General features: G+C 52.7%; 1 protein-coding gene across 3 annotated transcripts in view, besides 3 other annotated features; it reads right to left on the bottom strand.

The window, feature by feature from the left end:
• Window positions 1,258-1,397: an enhancer, noted in NCBI's record as "active region_18173". NCBI's record gives its function as "activates an Ori minimal core promoter by ATAC-STARR-seq in GM12878 lymphoblastoid cells {active_cell/tissue: GM12878}" and the evidence as "EXISTENCE:reporter gene assay evidence [ECO:0000049][PMID:35858748]".
• Window positions 1,528-1,637: an enhancer, noted in NCBI's record as "active region_18174". NCBI's record gives its function as "activates an Ori minimal core promoter by ATAC-STARR-seq in GM12878 lymphoblastoid cells {active_cell/tissue: GM12878}" and the evidence as "EXISTENCE:reporter gene assay evidence [ECO:0000049][PMID:35858748]".
• APCDD1L (APC down-regulated 1 like) overlaps window positions 1,704-16,667 on the bottom strand; it is a 56,299-nt gene continuing 41,335 nt past the window's right edge. For 2 of the 3 annotated variants that reach the window (NM_153360.3, NM_001304787.2), the window contains 3 exons: window positions 13,212-13,350; window positions 9,709-10,261; window positions 1,704-4,157 (listed from right to left, as the gene is read on the bottom strand). In NM_153360.3, the coding sequence (NP_699191.1) occupies window positions 3,393-4,157; window positions 9,709-10,261; window positions 13,212-13,350 (1,457 nt within the window). In that variant the 3' untranslated portion in view covers window positions 1,704-3,392. Of the gene's footprint in view, window positions 4,158-9,708; window positions 10,262-12,834; window positions 13,351-16,667 lie in introns of those variants that run through there. The other variant, NR_130908.2, reaches the window with a different exon arrangement.
• Window positions 3,424-3,612: a silencer, noted in NCBI's record as "fragment chr20:57035877-57036065 (GRCh37/hg19 assembly coordinates)". NCBI's record gives its function as "represses an EF-1alpha promoter that drives an FKBP-Casp9 reporter gene in an ReSE screen in phorbol 12-myristate 13-acetate-treated (for megakaryocytic differentiation) K562 erythroleukemia cells {active_cell/tissue: K562(+PMA)}" and the evidence as "EXISTENCE:reporter gene assay evidence [ECO:0000049][PMID:32094911]".

A 16,667-nucleotide genomic window follows, 5' to 3' on the forward strand; every position in this document is an offset into this window, starting at 1 on the left:
CAGTGCTACATTCTGCGTCAGAAAGCTCCAGTCCCTCGTGTCTGAGTCACCTGTGCCCCCAGGAGAGGATGCACAGACCAGGGCCACGTGCTGGTGGGCCTGCGTCACCAAGCCACACACTGCTGTTCAGCCCGGTAGCACCGCTGGGAGATTAAAAGCATGCGCTTAGTGAAAGGCAAAGAGCTTCTTTTGATAACCAGCATCTGTTAGTTAATGGACCTCTGAGAGCTGTATACAATTTCAACTTTTTATTAAAGAAAAAAAGCTCATTTGCTCTCCTGGGAGTTGCACAATGAAATTATCAACTGCATGGGCTTCCCACCCACCCCCCACCTTTCAACGTGACTGAACATGCAATGGAGAACATTAATTTTATCTGGAAATAGGACTCTAGGCTTTCCTCCCCGTCTGTAGATGAGAGCGCTCTCACGTTTTATGTGAAGGGCAGAGACTTAAGGGGCGGGAGCAAAGGGCTGGAAGGAAGGCTTGGTGCCCATGGGCCTCTGGCCCTGTACCAGACAGTCTCAGCCCCTCAGCCTCTGAAATGACCCCTTCCTTTATCAGCCCAGAGTCTTGGAAGCCCTGACCTTCTGCCTGGGAGAAAAGGGATGGTTGCCCTTTCTTCAGCCTTCGTAGCTCCGAGCAGCATCACCTGCCCCCAAACTAACAAGCCCCAGCGAGCAGAGAGCAACTAAGTCCAACTGAGGGGATCCAGGAAGCTGCTGTCCTGCTCAACACACTCCTTCTCATTAGGGATGGCATCCCACGAAGCAACACTAAATTGCCTTCCCCAAATAAAATCAAGGAATCCTATTCCCTCCAAGAGTGAGGAGGACACCCCAAGCCCGTGGGCTGTGATACAGAGGCCCGGATCTCAGGCTCTGGAGCCCAGCCCCTTCTCTCTGTGCCTTAGTGTCCTCGCGCGCAAGACGCAGAGACTCACACACCTCTCACTGACTCAGCTGGGCCTCTCGAGGGTCGCTGAATCTGGTAGATGGAGGTGATCCGTTCACGGGTCTCAGTGTGAGGCTTAACAGGGATAACCAACATTTACTGAGTCACATATTTATTGAAGTTCTTTCTACCATGCACCAGGCACACTGGACCCTTCCGGAAAGATCGCAGGAAGCGAGTCAGAGCCGAGTCTTTTTCGTTGGAGCTTACATTCTAGGCAAATAAGGTCATTTCCGCCAGTGATCAGTTTTCATGACAAAGAACATACAACTGTGATGCAGTGGACTGACAGAAGGACCAGGGAAATGGGGCTGCTCTTTGGGATGCGAATGGTGACATCTTCAGGAGACAACATCTGGTCTGAGACTTGATTGAAAAGAAAGTGCTCAACTTCTGAAGGTCTGGGGGAAGAGAGGCTAGGCGGAAATCAGGGCTTGTGCAAAGGCCCCAAGGCAGCAAGAGCTCCTGTGATCAAGAAACAGAGAGAAGGCCAGTGTGGCCGGGGCATGTGGAGGCGTGGCTGAGCCTTGCAGGCAACAGCGAGCCAGAAGTCGGGCTTTTATTCTGAGTGCAGTGGAAGCCCCTGGGGGGTTTTCAGCAGGACAGGCAGTGGCATGAAAGCAGAACTGAGAGAGCTGGGGTTTACCTCCACTGGTTTTATTCTCTTTCACACATTCTCTGGAAGACACTCCACTTCCTTTCTTTAGAACTGTAATTCCCTTGGTTGACTTTAATAACCAGCAAGAACATTTTTCAGGCTGTTTAATTTTATTAAAAGGTTCAAATTTGATGATAAATGGTGGCATGGTTACTTCAAGCTTCGGATACAAGACCTGCTCAGCCGTGGACATATCATCGACACCCACTGCCATCCCCACCAGGAGCTCCCCCAACCCTGATGTAGTCTGAGACCGTAAATAATGTAATGATTTCTTGTACTTTGGTAAATATGCCAGGAACACTTGTAGCTGTCTGAGAGCTACAGAGAATACTAACTTGGTGGGCTTTTTTTTTTTTTAAGAGGAAGGATGGGTAATAAGTGGAAGCAATTTCAGCAGGCTGACTGAACCCCACACAGTCTCAGGGAGGAAAAGGGCTTCCCTCTGAAACCATCATTAACCTCACAGACAATTGTTCAAAATCTGTGATAAGAGCTAGAGATAGGGATCAGGAGGAGGAAGGAGGGGGTGAGTCATTGGCCCCCAGTCCTGAAAACCCTTGGGCCCACCAGGATGCCAGTTAATTTCACAGTGTACAGATGAGGCCCTGGGAACATGGGCAGAGTCCCTGGGGAGGCACAGCCTGTTCCCACCATGATGACAGTCCCCTCTGAGCAGAGGACACCAATATATTAGGATTATGGCAAGGAGGCTGGGCAAGGCGGAGCTGCCTAGATGTCGCCATGTAGCCTGGTGACCCCGACCTCTCCCTAGGGTGGGCCCAAAGATACACATTCGGAGATTCTCTTCCTTTGTCAGGCAGGCACAGGCAATCTTGGCAACCGAGGATGGCTGGGCAGGGCGAATTGCAGAGCGCGTTAGTGTTACGGCTGTCATTACTATTAACTATGTTCAGAAGGCTGGAAATGCTGCTCCCCTCCAAAGACCTGCCCCCAGCAGCCAGCCTGGTGCACACTGGCATTTGCCTGGGCCAGGAAGGCTTGGAGGCCGCAGGCTGCTCTGGGGAGGCCATGCTTCTCAGCTTAGATGGAGTCCTCTTCATTTTGCATGCTGGCCCGGGAAAACTGGATTTATCCACATGCAGTGTTGGCAGCTTGAGGTCCGACTCGCAGAAGCACAGGCAAATGCAGACGAATGCCAGCAGTCAGGACTCAGGAAAGCTGAGCTGCCCCTGAAGACACAAGCCCTTTGCCCAAAAGCTGAGAAGCACTGAAAGCCCGAAGTGGCATCTTTAATTCATGGCACCACTTAGAGATCGTATTGCTAAATTCGAATTAATAATCTTTAAACAACAACCTACAGACATGGCAGAACTGTAGGCCTCGTCCCTAGGCAGAGCCTCAGGATCTCCTCTTGCTCCCATCTTGGAATCCCAAGGGTCAGGATGGGAAGAACTGGGGGGAACATGGGATGGGGGTGTTCCGTGTGGCCCCCTGACTGCACCTGTTGGCGAGCTGCCAAGGATGAGGAAAGTAGAAAAATTGGGAGTGATCTTTAGAAACTCACGTAGCGATGAACATCACTGCCGCATCCAAGTGCTTGACTGGGGACCCGGGCTGTGGGATGTGGTATAGGCTTTGCAGGGGTTAAGCTCATGTCCTGAGCCACATGGGACACAGGCAGAGTTTGGAAGCAGTGGGGCTGTGCATCCATCCATGACAGAGCAGAGGAGAATGGTTCCTTCCCTACAGCTGCCAGGAGGGAGTCTGAAGGGTTGAATGGGTGTCCAGAGCCGCCATCCTGATGTCAAGTCCAATGTCATAGCCAGTGGAGGAAGGCCAGCCCTAGAACTAGGGGCAGAAGTGGGAAGGGGGCTATGTGAAGACCCCCTGTGCTGGGGTGCTTCTGCAGCGATGGCCTGTGCTGCGGTGGCCTGGAGAAGTCGGGGGCCTCCCCATGACAGAGCACCAGGGGTGCTTGGTAGGAGGTGGGACGTTTCTCTGGGGTATCGGGACTTGAGCCATCGGTGGGCCTTTGTCCGATGAAGAGCAGGCTTTGCCCGAGGGGGTCTTGTTCCATCTTGAAAAGCTCGTACTCCACATGCGGGAGCCGGATGCCCAGCGGTAGGCAGCCGTTGGTGGCTGTGACATCCCGCTCAGTGCCCATGGACCAGGCCCCCGCACCCCCACAGCTGCTTGGCTCAGAGAAGTTGAGCATGGCCGTGGTGACCTGGTCCATGGGGGTCACATGGGCCCGTGTGACCTCAAACACCAGCTCGGTGCCGCCGCGGACCCTGGTGGATGGCGTGCCCCTGGTGTAGCGGCCGGCGGCATACACGGTGAAGGTGGGCTGCCGGCAGGCTGGGTCTGAGAAGTGGTGGTAATACCCTTCCCAGGAGCGGCTGTGCCCGTGGAAAGTGAAGAGCCGGGTGAGGAACAGGACTGCTGGGCGCACCTCGCACCCCGAGCTGACCCACCAGCCGCCCAGGTGCAGGGGCAGGGCCAGAGGGGGCGGCAGCACGGGCGGGTGGTGCACATCGGAGCGGGCAATGAGGCCACAGGCTGGGCACGGCTGCACGTGGTGCTGGCAAAAGACAAACAGAAAAACGGTGGTTGTCCCACATAGAGAAGTTGGGGTGCAGCCTGGAAAGGAACCCCAGCTCTGTAGGGGTGTCAAGGCAGGGTGAGGTGCGGCCTGTCCCTCCCTCCTCTCTCTCCTCACTCCCTGCCTTCAGTCAGGACGACCTCCTTGCTTCAGCCAGGATGGCCTCCTTGATGGAGGTCAGCCCCTGTATCCCCCGGGCCTTGGGTCTCCTGCTGTCTCTTCCACCTGGAATTCCCCGCCAGCTCCTTCTTACCTCTTAGGTCTCAGCTGGGCACCAGAGAGAGCTTTCCCGAATGCCCCATGTAAGGTGGGCCTCAGGGCTGTCACACCACCCTCTTTTATCTTCCTCATTCCACCCCCTGAGACTCTCCTCTCTCTACCCCTCACCCCTCATCAAACTGGAATGCATCGTGCCTTACAGTACTAAAAAGCCCTAGAAAGCCGGGACTGTCTCTGCGGCTACCCCATCCCCACCGCACAGGGCTTGGCTCACAGCAAGCACATATTTGTTGCATGAATAAATGAGAAATGAATGGAAGCATAGGTGGCCTTCGTCTTGGGACCTGAGAGAACTTGTCCTTGCTCATGCCCAGTCTGCTTGGTCCTGGAATTTGACCGTGAAAGTTGATCTTTTTCTAGCTCACTCTTCTAGGTGTTTCAGAAGTGCCAAGAACTATGCTAAGCACTTCCTGGGCAACTGGTACATGTTATAGCTGAGGGAGCTGAGACCCAGAGGGCCGGCTGGGCTGCCCAGGTTGTCCAGCCTGGAAGTGGCAGAGACCAGCTGAAATGCAGCCTGGCTTACACCCGGCTGTCTGAGCTCCCCCTCTCATGTGCTCATAGCAGGTTACATCTTCCCTACAGGTGGAGAATAGAGGATTTTTGTCTTTAGAAATCTCACAGTGGAAGGTGCGCATCATTTGCTCTACCTACCCCATGGAAAGTGGATATGGCAACAAGGATCAAAAGCCATCAAAATATGTCTGAGCCGGGCACAGTGGCTCACACCTGTAATCCCAGCTCTTTGGGAGGCTGAGGTGGGCAGATCACTTGAGGTCAGGAATTCAAGACCAGCCTGGCCAACACGGTGAAAACTCATCTCTACTAGAAATACAAAAATTAGCCTGGTGTGGTGGCACATGCCTGTATTCCCAGCTACTCAGGAGGCTGAGGTAGGAGAATTGCTTGAACCTGGGAGGTGGAAGTTGCAGTGAGCTGAGATCACACCATTGTACTCTGGCCTGGGGGACAGAGCGAGACACCATCTCAAAAAAAAAAAAAAAATTGGCCAGGTGCAGTGCCTCATGCCTGTAATCCCAGCACTTTGAGAGGCCCAGGTGGATAGATCATGAGGTCAGGAGATCAAGACCATCCTGGCCGACATGGTGAAATGCCATCTCTACAAAAAATACAAAAATTAGCCAGGTGTGGTGGTATATGCCTGTGATACTAGCTACTCAGGAGACTGATGTAGGACAATTGCTTGAATCAGGGAGGCAGAGGCTGCAGTGAGCCGAGATTGTGCCACTGCACTCCAGCCTGGGTGACAGAGCAAGACTCCATCTCACAAAAAAAAAAAAAAAAAAAAAAAATTATGTCTTTGGAAGCCCATTGCTTAAGTCTGCGCGAAGGAGATAGTTGAAATCTCGTAAAGAGCTGGGACTCAAAGATGTTCATTGTCGTGTTATTTGTTATAGGGAAAACCGGCCACACTCGGGTCTTCAGGTGCCACCACACCCTCCCTTGTCCCAGGCTATGAGTTGGTTTTCCTCTGTCTTTGCCCTTATTTACAGTTGTCTCTGCCTTACAAACTCTCGTGAGCTGGGTTTACCGTAAAACACGTTAACAGGAAACAGATGCTAAAGCAAATTGTGTGGGAGTAGTCTGCATTTTGGAGTGAAAAAGCTCAGCAGACGCTAAAAAGGAATGAGATACAGATTTCTTCTTTCTTCTTTCTCCTTCTTCTCCTTCTCCTATTTTATTTCTAAAAAAGAAGCTGCCGCCCAGATTGTAGGCCAGAGCGCCGTTCTGGAAGGTAAATGGCCTTGGAACTTGTCAAAGCTGATGTGAGAACAAGCAAACATCTCCTGCTGTGGCCATTCCAGAAGGAAACTTAGAGTTGCAGTCCAGGCAGGACAGCCACAGGAAGGGGGCATTTTGAGGGTCCAGCTGGGAAATTTGTTCCAATATATTTTTTCTTGCAAAAATCCCAAAAGACTTCCACACAGCACTGCTGAGTGAGTTTCATGCCAGACGAGTGGCACTTAGAAGTTCTGGTTTAGAAAGAAAATACTGGATGATTGAGAACAGTTTTTTTTTGGGGGGGGGGGGCGTCACATTTTATAAGCTGTTATTTTTTATTTCTATAATGAACCTTAAGTTTCCTTGATTTATATAATATCGGAGACCATATTGGCTTTGGTTATGGGGATTTGGGCCCAGAGAGCTTGACGGTTCTCTGAAATGCTAGCAAATGGCTGCAAAAATGTTTGTGATGGGAGCAAGCAAGCTTGATAGTTAGCCGGAGTGTTGGTGATTGGGATGCCGGCTGATAAGAGTCGACTCTAATTTTGGCATTTTAACCTACATTCTGAGCTGTCACACTAATATATATTGAGAAGACATAATGCGTTACAGCAACATAATCCCAGAGCTGTCCTTACCCACCACAAAAGACAACCAAAAGATATTCTCTGCAGATAGGACATTTAGGGCTGCTAGTTGGTAATCTGGGGTGAGCAGTTTTCTGCAGAGCAGAAACAAATTGAGAAGCAGCAAAGTTTTAAGGTGAAAGAGGGATGAGAAAAAGCATTTCCTTCTGTGGTGCTTTTGAAGCTGGTGAAACAAGGTTCCCGGCTCCATGGGAAATCTTTCGGGCATCTTTCTGCAGAGGTCTGAAGTCTCATGCGTTAATAAACAAAGCCCCCAGCCAGCAGAATTCACACTTGTACAGAAACCAAACTCTTACTCGTTTAAGCCTGTTACATAAAGTTATTTCTCAAACAGCACAAAACAGTTTCTAATTAACCCCCAGAGGTGACACCAGGCTCAGATAATTTTGGTCCAGTGTTGGCTGATTGATTAGCATTCTATATCCAGGCAATGAATTTGGGGATCAAATTGGTTTTAAATTAACTTCTAAAAATGTTCATGTTTACCATCTGGTTTGGGTCGTGGGCAAGGCGTGGGCCCCAGAGAGCTTAAGGCAACAACTGATTCATTTCTTGGGGATTTCTCTGCAGCAATTCCTTCTTTGAAATTATCTGTCTTTTCTTTCTTTCTTTTTTTTTTTTTCTCCCAAGGAGACGGGCCATTGGTGAGCAGACCTTTAATGTAATGTCTGTACATCTGGCACCGTTCATCACTGCATACATTTCTATGTGTTTTGCTTCTCCATCACATTTCAGGCTGGATTGGTCACCCAGGTTGGCCGGGCAGCAGGGAGGGCAGGGACAGCCATGGCCCCAGAGTCCTGCCTGGGGATGCATGAAATTGCCAGCCCCCACAGCCCCCGGGGATCTGTCCTCTCTGCATTCAGAGCAGTTTCCCCTCCTAATGAGGTGGTGGTGGCCGGTAATCAACTCACCGCTAGCGCCTTCTCTGAACTAAGTAGGATTAACGCCAGACCAGCCTAGAACACTGGTTGCCAAAAAGGGAATAATTTTGAGGTCATAAAAAGAACTCTGAGGCTGATTTTCTGATTATGAGAACTTCGTGTCGTGCTCCTCCTCTGCTATCCAGATCCTCAGTTTGGAGGAGGGGGTGGGGGAAGGGGAGGAAGGCAGGCTTCTGGTCTGTCTCATCCACAGTGCTCCCGCATTGGGGCAATAACAAGTGGGTACTACCAGGGGTTAGAAGTTGCCTCATTGGTTTAGTTCCTTGAGTGTCCAGTACACGGTAGGCAACAAATACATGCTGAATGATGTGAAGGTGGCCTAAGAGCTCCAAGAGGACTTCATGGGGATGCTGAACACATCCATCCATCCACACCCATTCATCCACCCTCCCTCCATCTGCTCGTTTGTGCACTCAAGAAATACGCATTGGGTGCCTTGTACAGAAGTTTTTCACCTCGAATGCTAACCTCAACTTCATTTTCACTAACCTTTCACTAATAAAAGTTAACATTTCTTCTCATTGTAAATGGAGGCAACGAGCCCCAGTAGCGTCAGCAGAACCTCTGACCTTGTATGACACTAACAGCATTGCAGGTACTGGAAACATGGTTTGCAGTCGTCCCTGCTTTGAAATGAGGGCAAATAAAGATTTCACATTTATCGTTTCTCTATATCACAAATTAGCGTTTTAAAACTTGGGTAACTGTTTTAATAGAACTGGTTTTCATTTAAATCCCACGTATTTTCTCTTATGCTTTTTTTAAAAACAGATTTTCTGAGGGGGGTTCCTTAGGCTTCACCAGCCACCAGAGGGGTCTCTGACACTGGGAAGGTCCTAGGTCCACACCCTTGTAGGAGCCAGGCTCTGAGCTATGTGCCAGGAGCCATTATACAGTAAAGTTACGTTTCTTTCTGCCTGTTTGCTCATCTGGCAAAAAAAAAAAAAAAAAAGTGTGCTGGGGGACTGCTAGATCCTCCCCAAATTAGGACGGTATGCGTGCAATGGCTTCTTCTAAAATCTAGGTTAATCAGCTTCAATGAAATTCGTGTTGGAGTCAAGGCGGAACATGCTAAAGAGAGGGTGGTTTCCTTTAGCCTGCAGCCTCCCCACACCCCGGACAGCTTGCTGGAAATGCAGAACCCCGGGCTCCACCCAGACCTGAAGGATCCCTTTCGGCCCTCTCACAAGAAGCCCAGGCCACGTGGCTTCGCCGTCTGGTTTGGGAGTGGGCGAGGGTGGCGCCCCAGTGGCTGTGCGGCTAGGTCAGTGTGAGGCTCGCACTGAGATTTCGAGGGGGTGGCATCTGGGCTGGTGTGCGCGGCCCCAGCGGCGCCCTGGAGGAAAGCTGCCCTCTCCCTAATTCATCCATCCACGTTTATTGGTCCTGATCGTCGGCCTGACCCGTGCTAGGTGCCCGCTGTGGCCCCACCCTTGTGAAGGACCTAGCGCCAGAGGGAGAGGCAATAAACAAGTCACCAACAGAGCTTCAGAGCGGGCTGAGAGCTGGCAAGGGTCACCTGCGGGAAACGGGGAACGGTAGAATGGGGACTGGAGCGGATATTTCAGCCGAGAACTAAGGGAGGGGGACACCCACCAAGCCTCTGTGCCCAGCAGGGGCAGAAATGAGATCCTGCAGTGCCCACGAGGACAGGGGCCGGGGAGGACTAGCGTGGGAAGGCCGACCAGAGGCCCGCCAGCCTTGTAAAGGCTGAAAAAAGATGTCTCCAGCTGCGTGAACAGGGTGCGCAAATGTCCTGAGGCACGCGGACCAGAGTGGGGAGGGGCAGTGATGACAGCCGGGCAGCCAGAGCCCTGGGCAGGCCCAGGTCTTGCAAAGCTGCGGGGCTGGGTTCCGAGCTCGCCTCCCCGAGACCACCACCCCCCTCTCCCACACCCCAACACACACACTCACCAGTGCGCTCTGCAGCGGGCGCTGGTAGCCCGTGGGCCGGTAGTGCCGCCTCTCCGCCGGGTCGGTGTGGATGTCCCCCAGGTACAGCTCCTCCACCAGCCGGGGCGACGCCCGGGGCTGCGGCTGCAGGCGGCGCTGCACGCGGACCAGGCTGAGCTCGTGCATGGTGAGGCCCAGCGCCTCCAGGCAGTCCCCCTGAGCCCGGGCGCTCCGCAGCTCGTACAGCGCCCCAGGCAGCCAGGCCCGGGCCGGAGGCAGCCGCCGCGCGCAGTCCCGGCCGGCGCGGGTCTGGTTGAGGCGCCCGGTGACGTCGACCAGGGCCCGGCGGCTGTGGAAGACGATGCCCACCTTGTGCAGGTGGTAGTCGGCCTCGGTGGCTCCCCGGGTGACCCAGGAGGCCCGGCGCAGGCGGACTTTGCCCTTGACGAGCAGCGAGTGGGCAGGTTCCCCGCAGAAGGGGTCCTCGTAGTAGAACTGGTGGGCTCGAAAGAGCCGGCTGGGGTAGAAGGTGTAGGCGCGGGTCAGGAACTCCGGTCCTGGGCGCACCTCGCAGCTGCAGGGGTGGAAGGAGATGGGCTGGGTGCAGAGGGAACACCGCGCCGCGAGCCCCTCTCCCCTCTGGGCTGGGCTCCTTTCTCCCCCCCAGCCCTCCTCTTAGTCCTCAGCTCAGGCCTGGGCCCCTCCAGCCTCAGTTCCCCTCACTGCTCGCAGTCAGGCACCCTTGGGGCTGGGGCTTTGCACTGGATGCCTCGTGGCCTCGACACAAGCCTTCTAGTTCATTCTCCTTTCCTTCAATCTGAATTGCCCTGCTGGAGGGCCTTTTGCAACCACCTGGGGACCCGCTGGCCTGGGAGCTCCGGGATGCCCTGCCTGCTTCCTCCCCCGCTGGACTCTGGGCACCTGGCCCAGAGCCCGCCCCACTCCCTCCCGCGTCCTTGCTGAGTGAATGGAGGCCCGTCTTGTCTCCCCCTTCTCTAGGCTCACTGCCCTGACCAGGTCTCATCCTTGCCTGTGACAGGGCTTGAAGATATAAACCAGGAGTCGGCAAACTTTTTCTGTAAAGGGCTGAGTAATAAATATTTTTGTTTTGGTGGGCTGGGTGGTTTCTGCTGCAACTACTCAAAGTTGCCATTGTAGAGCTAATGCAGCTATAGATGATACGTGCATGGATGGGCATGGTTGTGTGCCAATAAAACTTTGTTTACAAAAATGGGAAGTGGGCTGGACTTGGCCCCAGACTCCATTTGCTGGTGATACAAACAGATCCAGGGGAAGGGGTTGGACGGAGAAGAAAGAGAAATGACTCCTAGACTCACGGTCAACCTGGGGATGGGGCAGAGGAGGCCTCTGGGACTTCCTACTGAGGGCGCAGGTAGGGTGGACGGTGGATGAAGTCGGGGGAAAAATAGCAGGCACCCTCCTCACGATTTTACTCTAACCAGGTACCCTCTTGTACTGCTATTTTCTTTCTTATTTTTTTGAGACAGAATCTCACTTTGTCACCCAGGCTGGAATGCACTGGTGCAATCTCGGCTCACCGCAACTTCTGCCTCCTGGGTTCAAGCAATTCTCCTGCCTCAGTCTCCCGAGTAGCTGCAATTACAGGCATGTGCCACCATGCCCGGCCAATTTTTGTATTTTTAGTAGAGATGGAGTTTCGTCATGTTGGCCAGGCTGATTTTGAACTCCTGACCTCAATCAATCTGCCCATCTCGGCCTCCCAAAGTGCTGGGATTACAGGCGTGATCCCAGCCCATTTTCTTGATATTTTTTTGTACCAGGGCTGTTGGAGCAGAGGAAACATGTTATCACCCAGCAAGGAAATAATTCCCTTTTCTTTTCTTCCATCTTTTTGATAATGTTGAGGGGAAATTCTCTGGTCAGAGCTAATGTGTCTTTAATGCCAACCTCCCTGTTCTCCCAGAGAGAGCAACTTAGAACTTCGGGTTGGCAACAGATCTACAGAGGATTTATGTTGTTTTGTTTTCATGGAATTTAATTTTACAGTTACCTTTAATTTATGACAAGTGGCTCTGCTCCCCATATCCAGGATAATATTACGTTTTCTTTAAAAATAATCACATTACACTGTCAATGTATGCCAATTATATCTCAATAAAGCTGTAAAAATAAATGAATATATTTTAGTAAATAAAAGCAAGTTGGTTTACAGAAAATGATAAGTAAATACTAGTATAGGTACTTAAAAATAGGGAGGGGTGAGCCACACCCCTGAGGGTCTCAGGCCTGGAGAGGGGAGATTTGCCAGGAGGACACAGCAGGTCACACTGGACCTCTTGATGGTTCCCAGGCTCTGGGGCCTTTCCCACTCTTCTCCCAAGAAGCAGCAAGGTCAGTCTGGAGAGCATGGCAGGGAACTTTCAAGGAAGAAAGTTCTAGAAGAAATTTCTTAAAAGAACTGCTCCAGAATGTTACTGTCTTGGGGCAGAAGCAGCCTACAACCAGCGTCCCCCCTTCCTGTACCCCAGTTCTGTCTGGGTGACCCTGGTGAGTGGATGCCTGGATCTCCCCTGGACTGTGCCGTGGGCGTGGGGGCTGTGTGCAGCCTGGCTGAGCCTGCAAATGCATTCGAAGTGGCCTCGAAGGACTCATGTCCCCTTCCTCCAACGAAAGCGCTAGCAGATGTTTGGCAGTCGGGAGTTTCTGCCTGACCTCAGGAGGTACAGGAAGGACACGGAGAGGCCAGTCCTTGACCCCAGAATGGGACTGGCCTGGAGGGGATGTCGGGGGAAGGAGGAATATGCCAGGTGTGAAGGGGGCCACAGCCTCCCTTTTCCCCGATCCCTGCCCCAGGAGTGGGACTCAGCTGGCTGCTGTAGGGTTTGTGCACCACAGATGAGGAGAGAATGCAAAGTCCATTGGCCGCAAAGCAGCGACTGAGCCTCTGAAATGTCGAGTGAGCCTGTCAGGTTAGACAGAATTAGATGGGTGCACCCAGGCTCTCCCTGGCCTGCCACTTCCCGCCCCAGGGCCCTTCAGCAGCTGCCCCCTCTGCCTGGCTCTTCCCTGGCTCTCTAGATGGCTGATTCCTCTCCTTTTAGCTCTCAGCTGATGTCACCACCTCCAAGAAGCCTCCCCTGATCACTCTCTAAAGAACCCTCCAGGTCACTTGCTATCACATCTTTGGTTTTATTTCCTTCATTGAAGAACTTAGTGCAATCTCAAGTTTATATTATTCATTTGTGTGTTCGCATGTTGAGCGCATGTCCCACTGCTGACCCCTGGCACTTAGCTCGTAATAGGTTTGTATAATAGGTGTTCAAGGTGTTGAATGGATTTTGACCATGGACGTGATGCCCAACAGAGTCCCTGCCTCCCATTGCACTCTGGGAGGGGAGGCAAGCATCTCCAGCAGCTTGGCAGGTAGAAGGCCTCTTGGATAACTATGTGAATTATGCCCATTTCAAAGATTGGATGCCGAGTCCCAGAGGCAGAAGTCTCCCAGTCCAGGGGTCCATGGTCAGGATGACCTGAAGTCTTACCCTGTGGAGATCCAAGGTCCATTAAGGCGTGGAGGCAGGATCGCAGTGCTGGGCACTCTATCTGGCAAGGGCTGCTGGCAGTGGGGTTCCCAGCGCAGGCAGCTGCCCCCGGCCTCCCCAGCCGCCGGTGCAGTGTGGGCTGCAAAGCAGACAGACCTGGGTAAGACCCCAGCATGCCCCGGGAACACCCACCCCATCTGCCCTCCCAACCCCACTGTGGCCACAGAGAGCCAGGCAGGGCTGTCCCGCAACCTCCATCGCAGCCCCGTCCCCAGGGTGCCCCAGTTCTGGAGACAGTGATGGGTTCCCCATATTGAGGATCCTAGAATCAGCCTCCCCGACGCATCTCCTCCTGGGTTCCCAGATGTGATCACCCTAGAATCCAAGCCTCCTAGATGGAGCCTGTCCCAGATTCTGGGGCTGGGAGGCCTCTGAGAATTGTACACGTGGAGCAGACTCTTAGAAGCCCAGACCTTCCACGGGCTCATCAGCCGTGGCTGAGTCCTGCCTGCTGGTGGCTGAAGGACCCACGCTCCTGGACAAAGGGCACTCTGGACTCAGGACCCAAGGTGCTGGGGACAGTGGGGCCCTAGCCTATCCCTAGAGCAGACCACTCCCCTCCACCAAGGAGCCCTGGGGGCTGCTTGGCCTCTCCCGGCACACAGCAGGCCCCTCGAGGCCACTCGCTTCAGGTCTCACCTGGTGCTGGGCACCTGCTATCTACTCGGTGCTCAGCGAGCGTGTGGCAAGGGAAAGAGCGCATGGCCGCTGCAGAGGCCCGGGCCGAGGTGTGAGGCCAAACAATGCAGGCCCTGCCCTTCTTCAGGGCTCCGTCCCTAAGCCCAGACACCAGGGGGAGGAATTGGGCTCAGGGCAGAAGGTGACTGGAAGATGGACACGGGAAGCAGGCGCTGCAGCACAAGCTCCAGGTCCTCTAGAGTGACCCCTAGATGAGCTTGGCTGGGCCTGGAGAAGTGAAGCCCGGGAGTGGGACTGTTCACGATCTTTTCTCGGGCTGCTGAGAGGCGAGAGTGCCAAAACCTTCAGCTGCTAAAGAGCAGCAGCTCTCCCAGAAACTGTCATCTCCAATCAGGGCTGATGGGCTTGAGATGGCCCAGATGACGGGATGCTGTGGGAAGCTCGGCAGTGAGCTGCGTCCAAATACTCCAGCCACGGGCTGTGCTCAGGGGCGCTGGCCTGGCCCTGGAGGCCCAGCTCCTGCAGCGAAGCTTCCAAGCATGGCTCTTCCCACCCAGCCTGGGGCTGGAGTGGGTCAGGAGGGGCTGAGTCTTAGGGCTCCAGTCCAGGGGATGTGGGGGCCTGGCAGTAACTTCAGGAGGCCTTGGGAGGGGTTGGGGGCTGAGTTGAGAAGTGAGCAGATGGCGTGTTCTGTCCCTTTCCTGACCTTGCAGGCAGACCTTCCCAGCAAGGGTTCAGGAGAGCTGAGGGCCCCCCACTGCCCCCGCGGAGCTGCCTGACCCCAAACTCTCTGTGCCCCAGGGGTATTTGAGGAAAATGAGGCAGAGTGGATTCCTCAGTTCCCTTGAGGTTGGGGGTTGCCTCTGGAGACTTTTGGGGTCCCCAGTGATCAGCTGAGAAGGCAGGAGTGACGCTGATTATGACAAGGGGGATGACGGCACCTGTTAACTGGGTGTGGACCCCTTGCTCTTTTATACATTATTCCCATCTGATCTTTGCAATAACCCTGGAGTCGGTGTTAGCATCATCTTCCTCTCATGGGCAGAGAAACAGGCTCAGCTCAGAGATGGGCTCAGCTTCCACGGGGCACATGCCACCCGGATGTGGCAAAGCCAGGATGTGAGCCCAGGTTGTTGGACTTCGGGGTGTGACGGCGTCACCGGTGCTTGTCTCACATCCCCAGAGAACACAAAAGGGGCTGACTTGGAGACGGGGTAAAACGCAGGGCAGTCAACAAACATTGGCCGACTGAATAAACGAAGGTATGAGTACAAATGCTGGTGTAGCCCTAGGTCCCTGTTGTAATCTTGGTTCATCCTGCAACTGATTTATTGGCTTTAATTAGCCAAATAGGAGAAATGAAAACAAATAGCCACCCAGCCAGGGCCAAGGTGTCCCCACACCGACTCATCAGCACTTGGGGCCACTCTGCCAAGTGAAAGAAATGCCAGTGGGATCTTGAAAGAGAGAGGCCGTGGTTGTTTTGTCTCAACTTGGCACGTCTACTTTGCAGGAATTTGTGGCAGGATATTGTAGTGGGTACGTAGGCACCAAAGTTGGGCCAGATCCCCATGCAACTCGCCAGGAGTCCTGAGCTGACGGGTGCACGTCAGCGTCAACACCACGTGCATGTGGGGCTTCTGCAATCTGCTTCTTCAGAAGACACTGGGTTTCCTGGATTCAATTCTGCAGGTTAATTTGAACATCTTCAGTGTCAACGAAACCTGTCCAAAAGTGTTGATTTGGGGGAATGGATGAAAACAGAGCGAGGAAAAGGATCAAAAGGGGTCAGCAATATTTGCCTGGTAGGAAAATCAAGCTTGCGTTTCAGAGTAAAATAGTGAAGGGGCCCTGCAAATTATCTTGTCATTGTTTCCACAAAACTTGGGCTCTTGAGGAAATGTTTTTCTGTTCAAAAGAAAACAAGGCTTTTTTTTTCCCCCTGCACCCTCCCTGAAGTCACTGAGACTAGATGGCCCTTTTGTCATGAATCCTCAGATCCTGTGTTTCTGCCGAGTGCATTTTAGTTTATCTTGTTTTTCTGTGAGGAACTGGGATTTAATTATGTTGGGAGACTCTGAGATACAGCGAAGTGTTGCTGCATTCGGAACATGTACACACAAATGCGAAGAGCTCCTCAAGATGCACCTGTGGAGGAGCATCACGTGGCCTCTTGGTCATGCGTGAAGTCTCAACTTCAAGGTTGCAAAAACGAAATTAACCAATTATAAATGATTCCATGACATTTTCTCCAACATAGCTCTTGGGGTAGATGTTGGATTTTCTTTGCTTCCCCCCCCACCCCTTCTCTTCCTCCAAAAAAGTCTTAACTAAAGAAATAACAGCTGAAAGCAGATGGTGCGGTGGGTTGGGTTACACAACTTTTTGCAGGGAAGTGATAGACGGAGTTAAATGCATGGACCAAATTGACTTTTATCAACCATGGATTTTTAATTAACAGTGGTGTCCACTTACTGTCATTCATTATTTACTGTTTACCCACTAATTAAAAATTATGCTGTTTTTGCATTCATAAGAGCAGGGACATTTGAAATTAGATAGCATTGTTCAAATTACCTGCAGAATTAAATCTAGAGTTCCCAATTGCTCAGACCAGGCTACCGGAGCTTAAAATATGACCTGCTTGAGGCCGATGTGTTATCCTGAATCAGAGCACCAGAAACAGGCCTCATGAACAAATACCATATGGACCTGCCTGGGGCCTTCCGGGGAAAGGACACTCACTGAGCACACCCA

This window comes from Homo sapiens, chromosome 20, assembly GCF_000001405.40.
Source record: "Homo sapiens chromosome 20, GRCh38.p14 Primary Assembly".
NCBI lineage: Eukaryota > Metazoa > Chordata > Mammalia > Primates > Hominidae > Homo > Homo sapiens.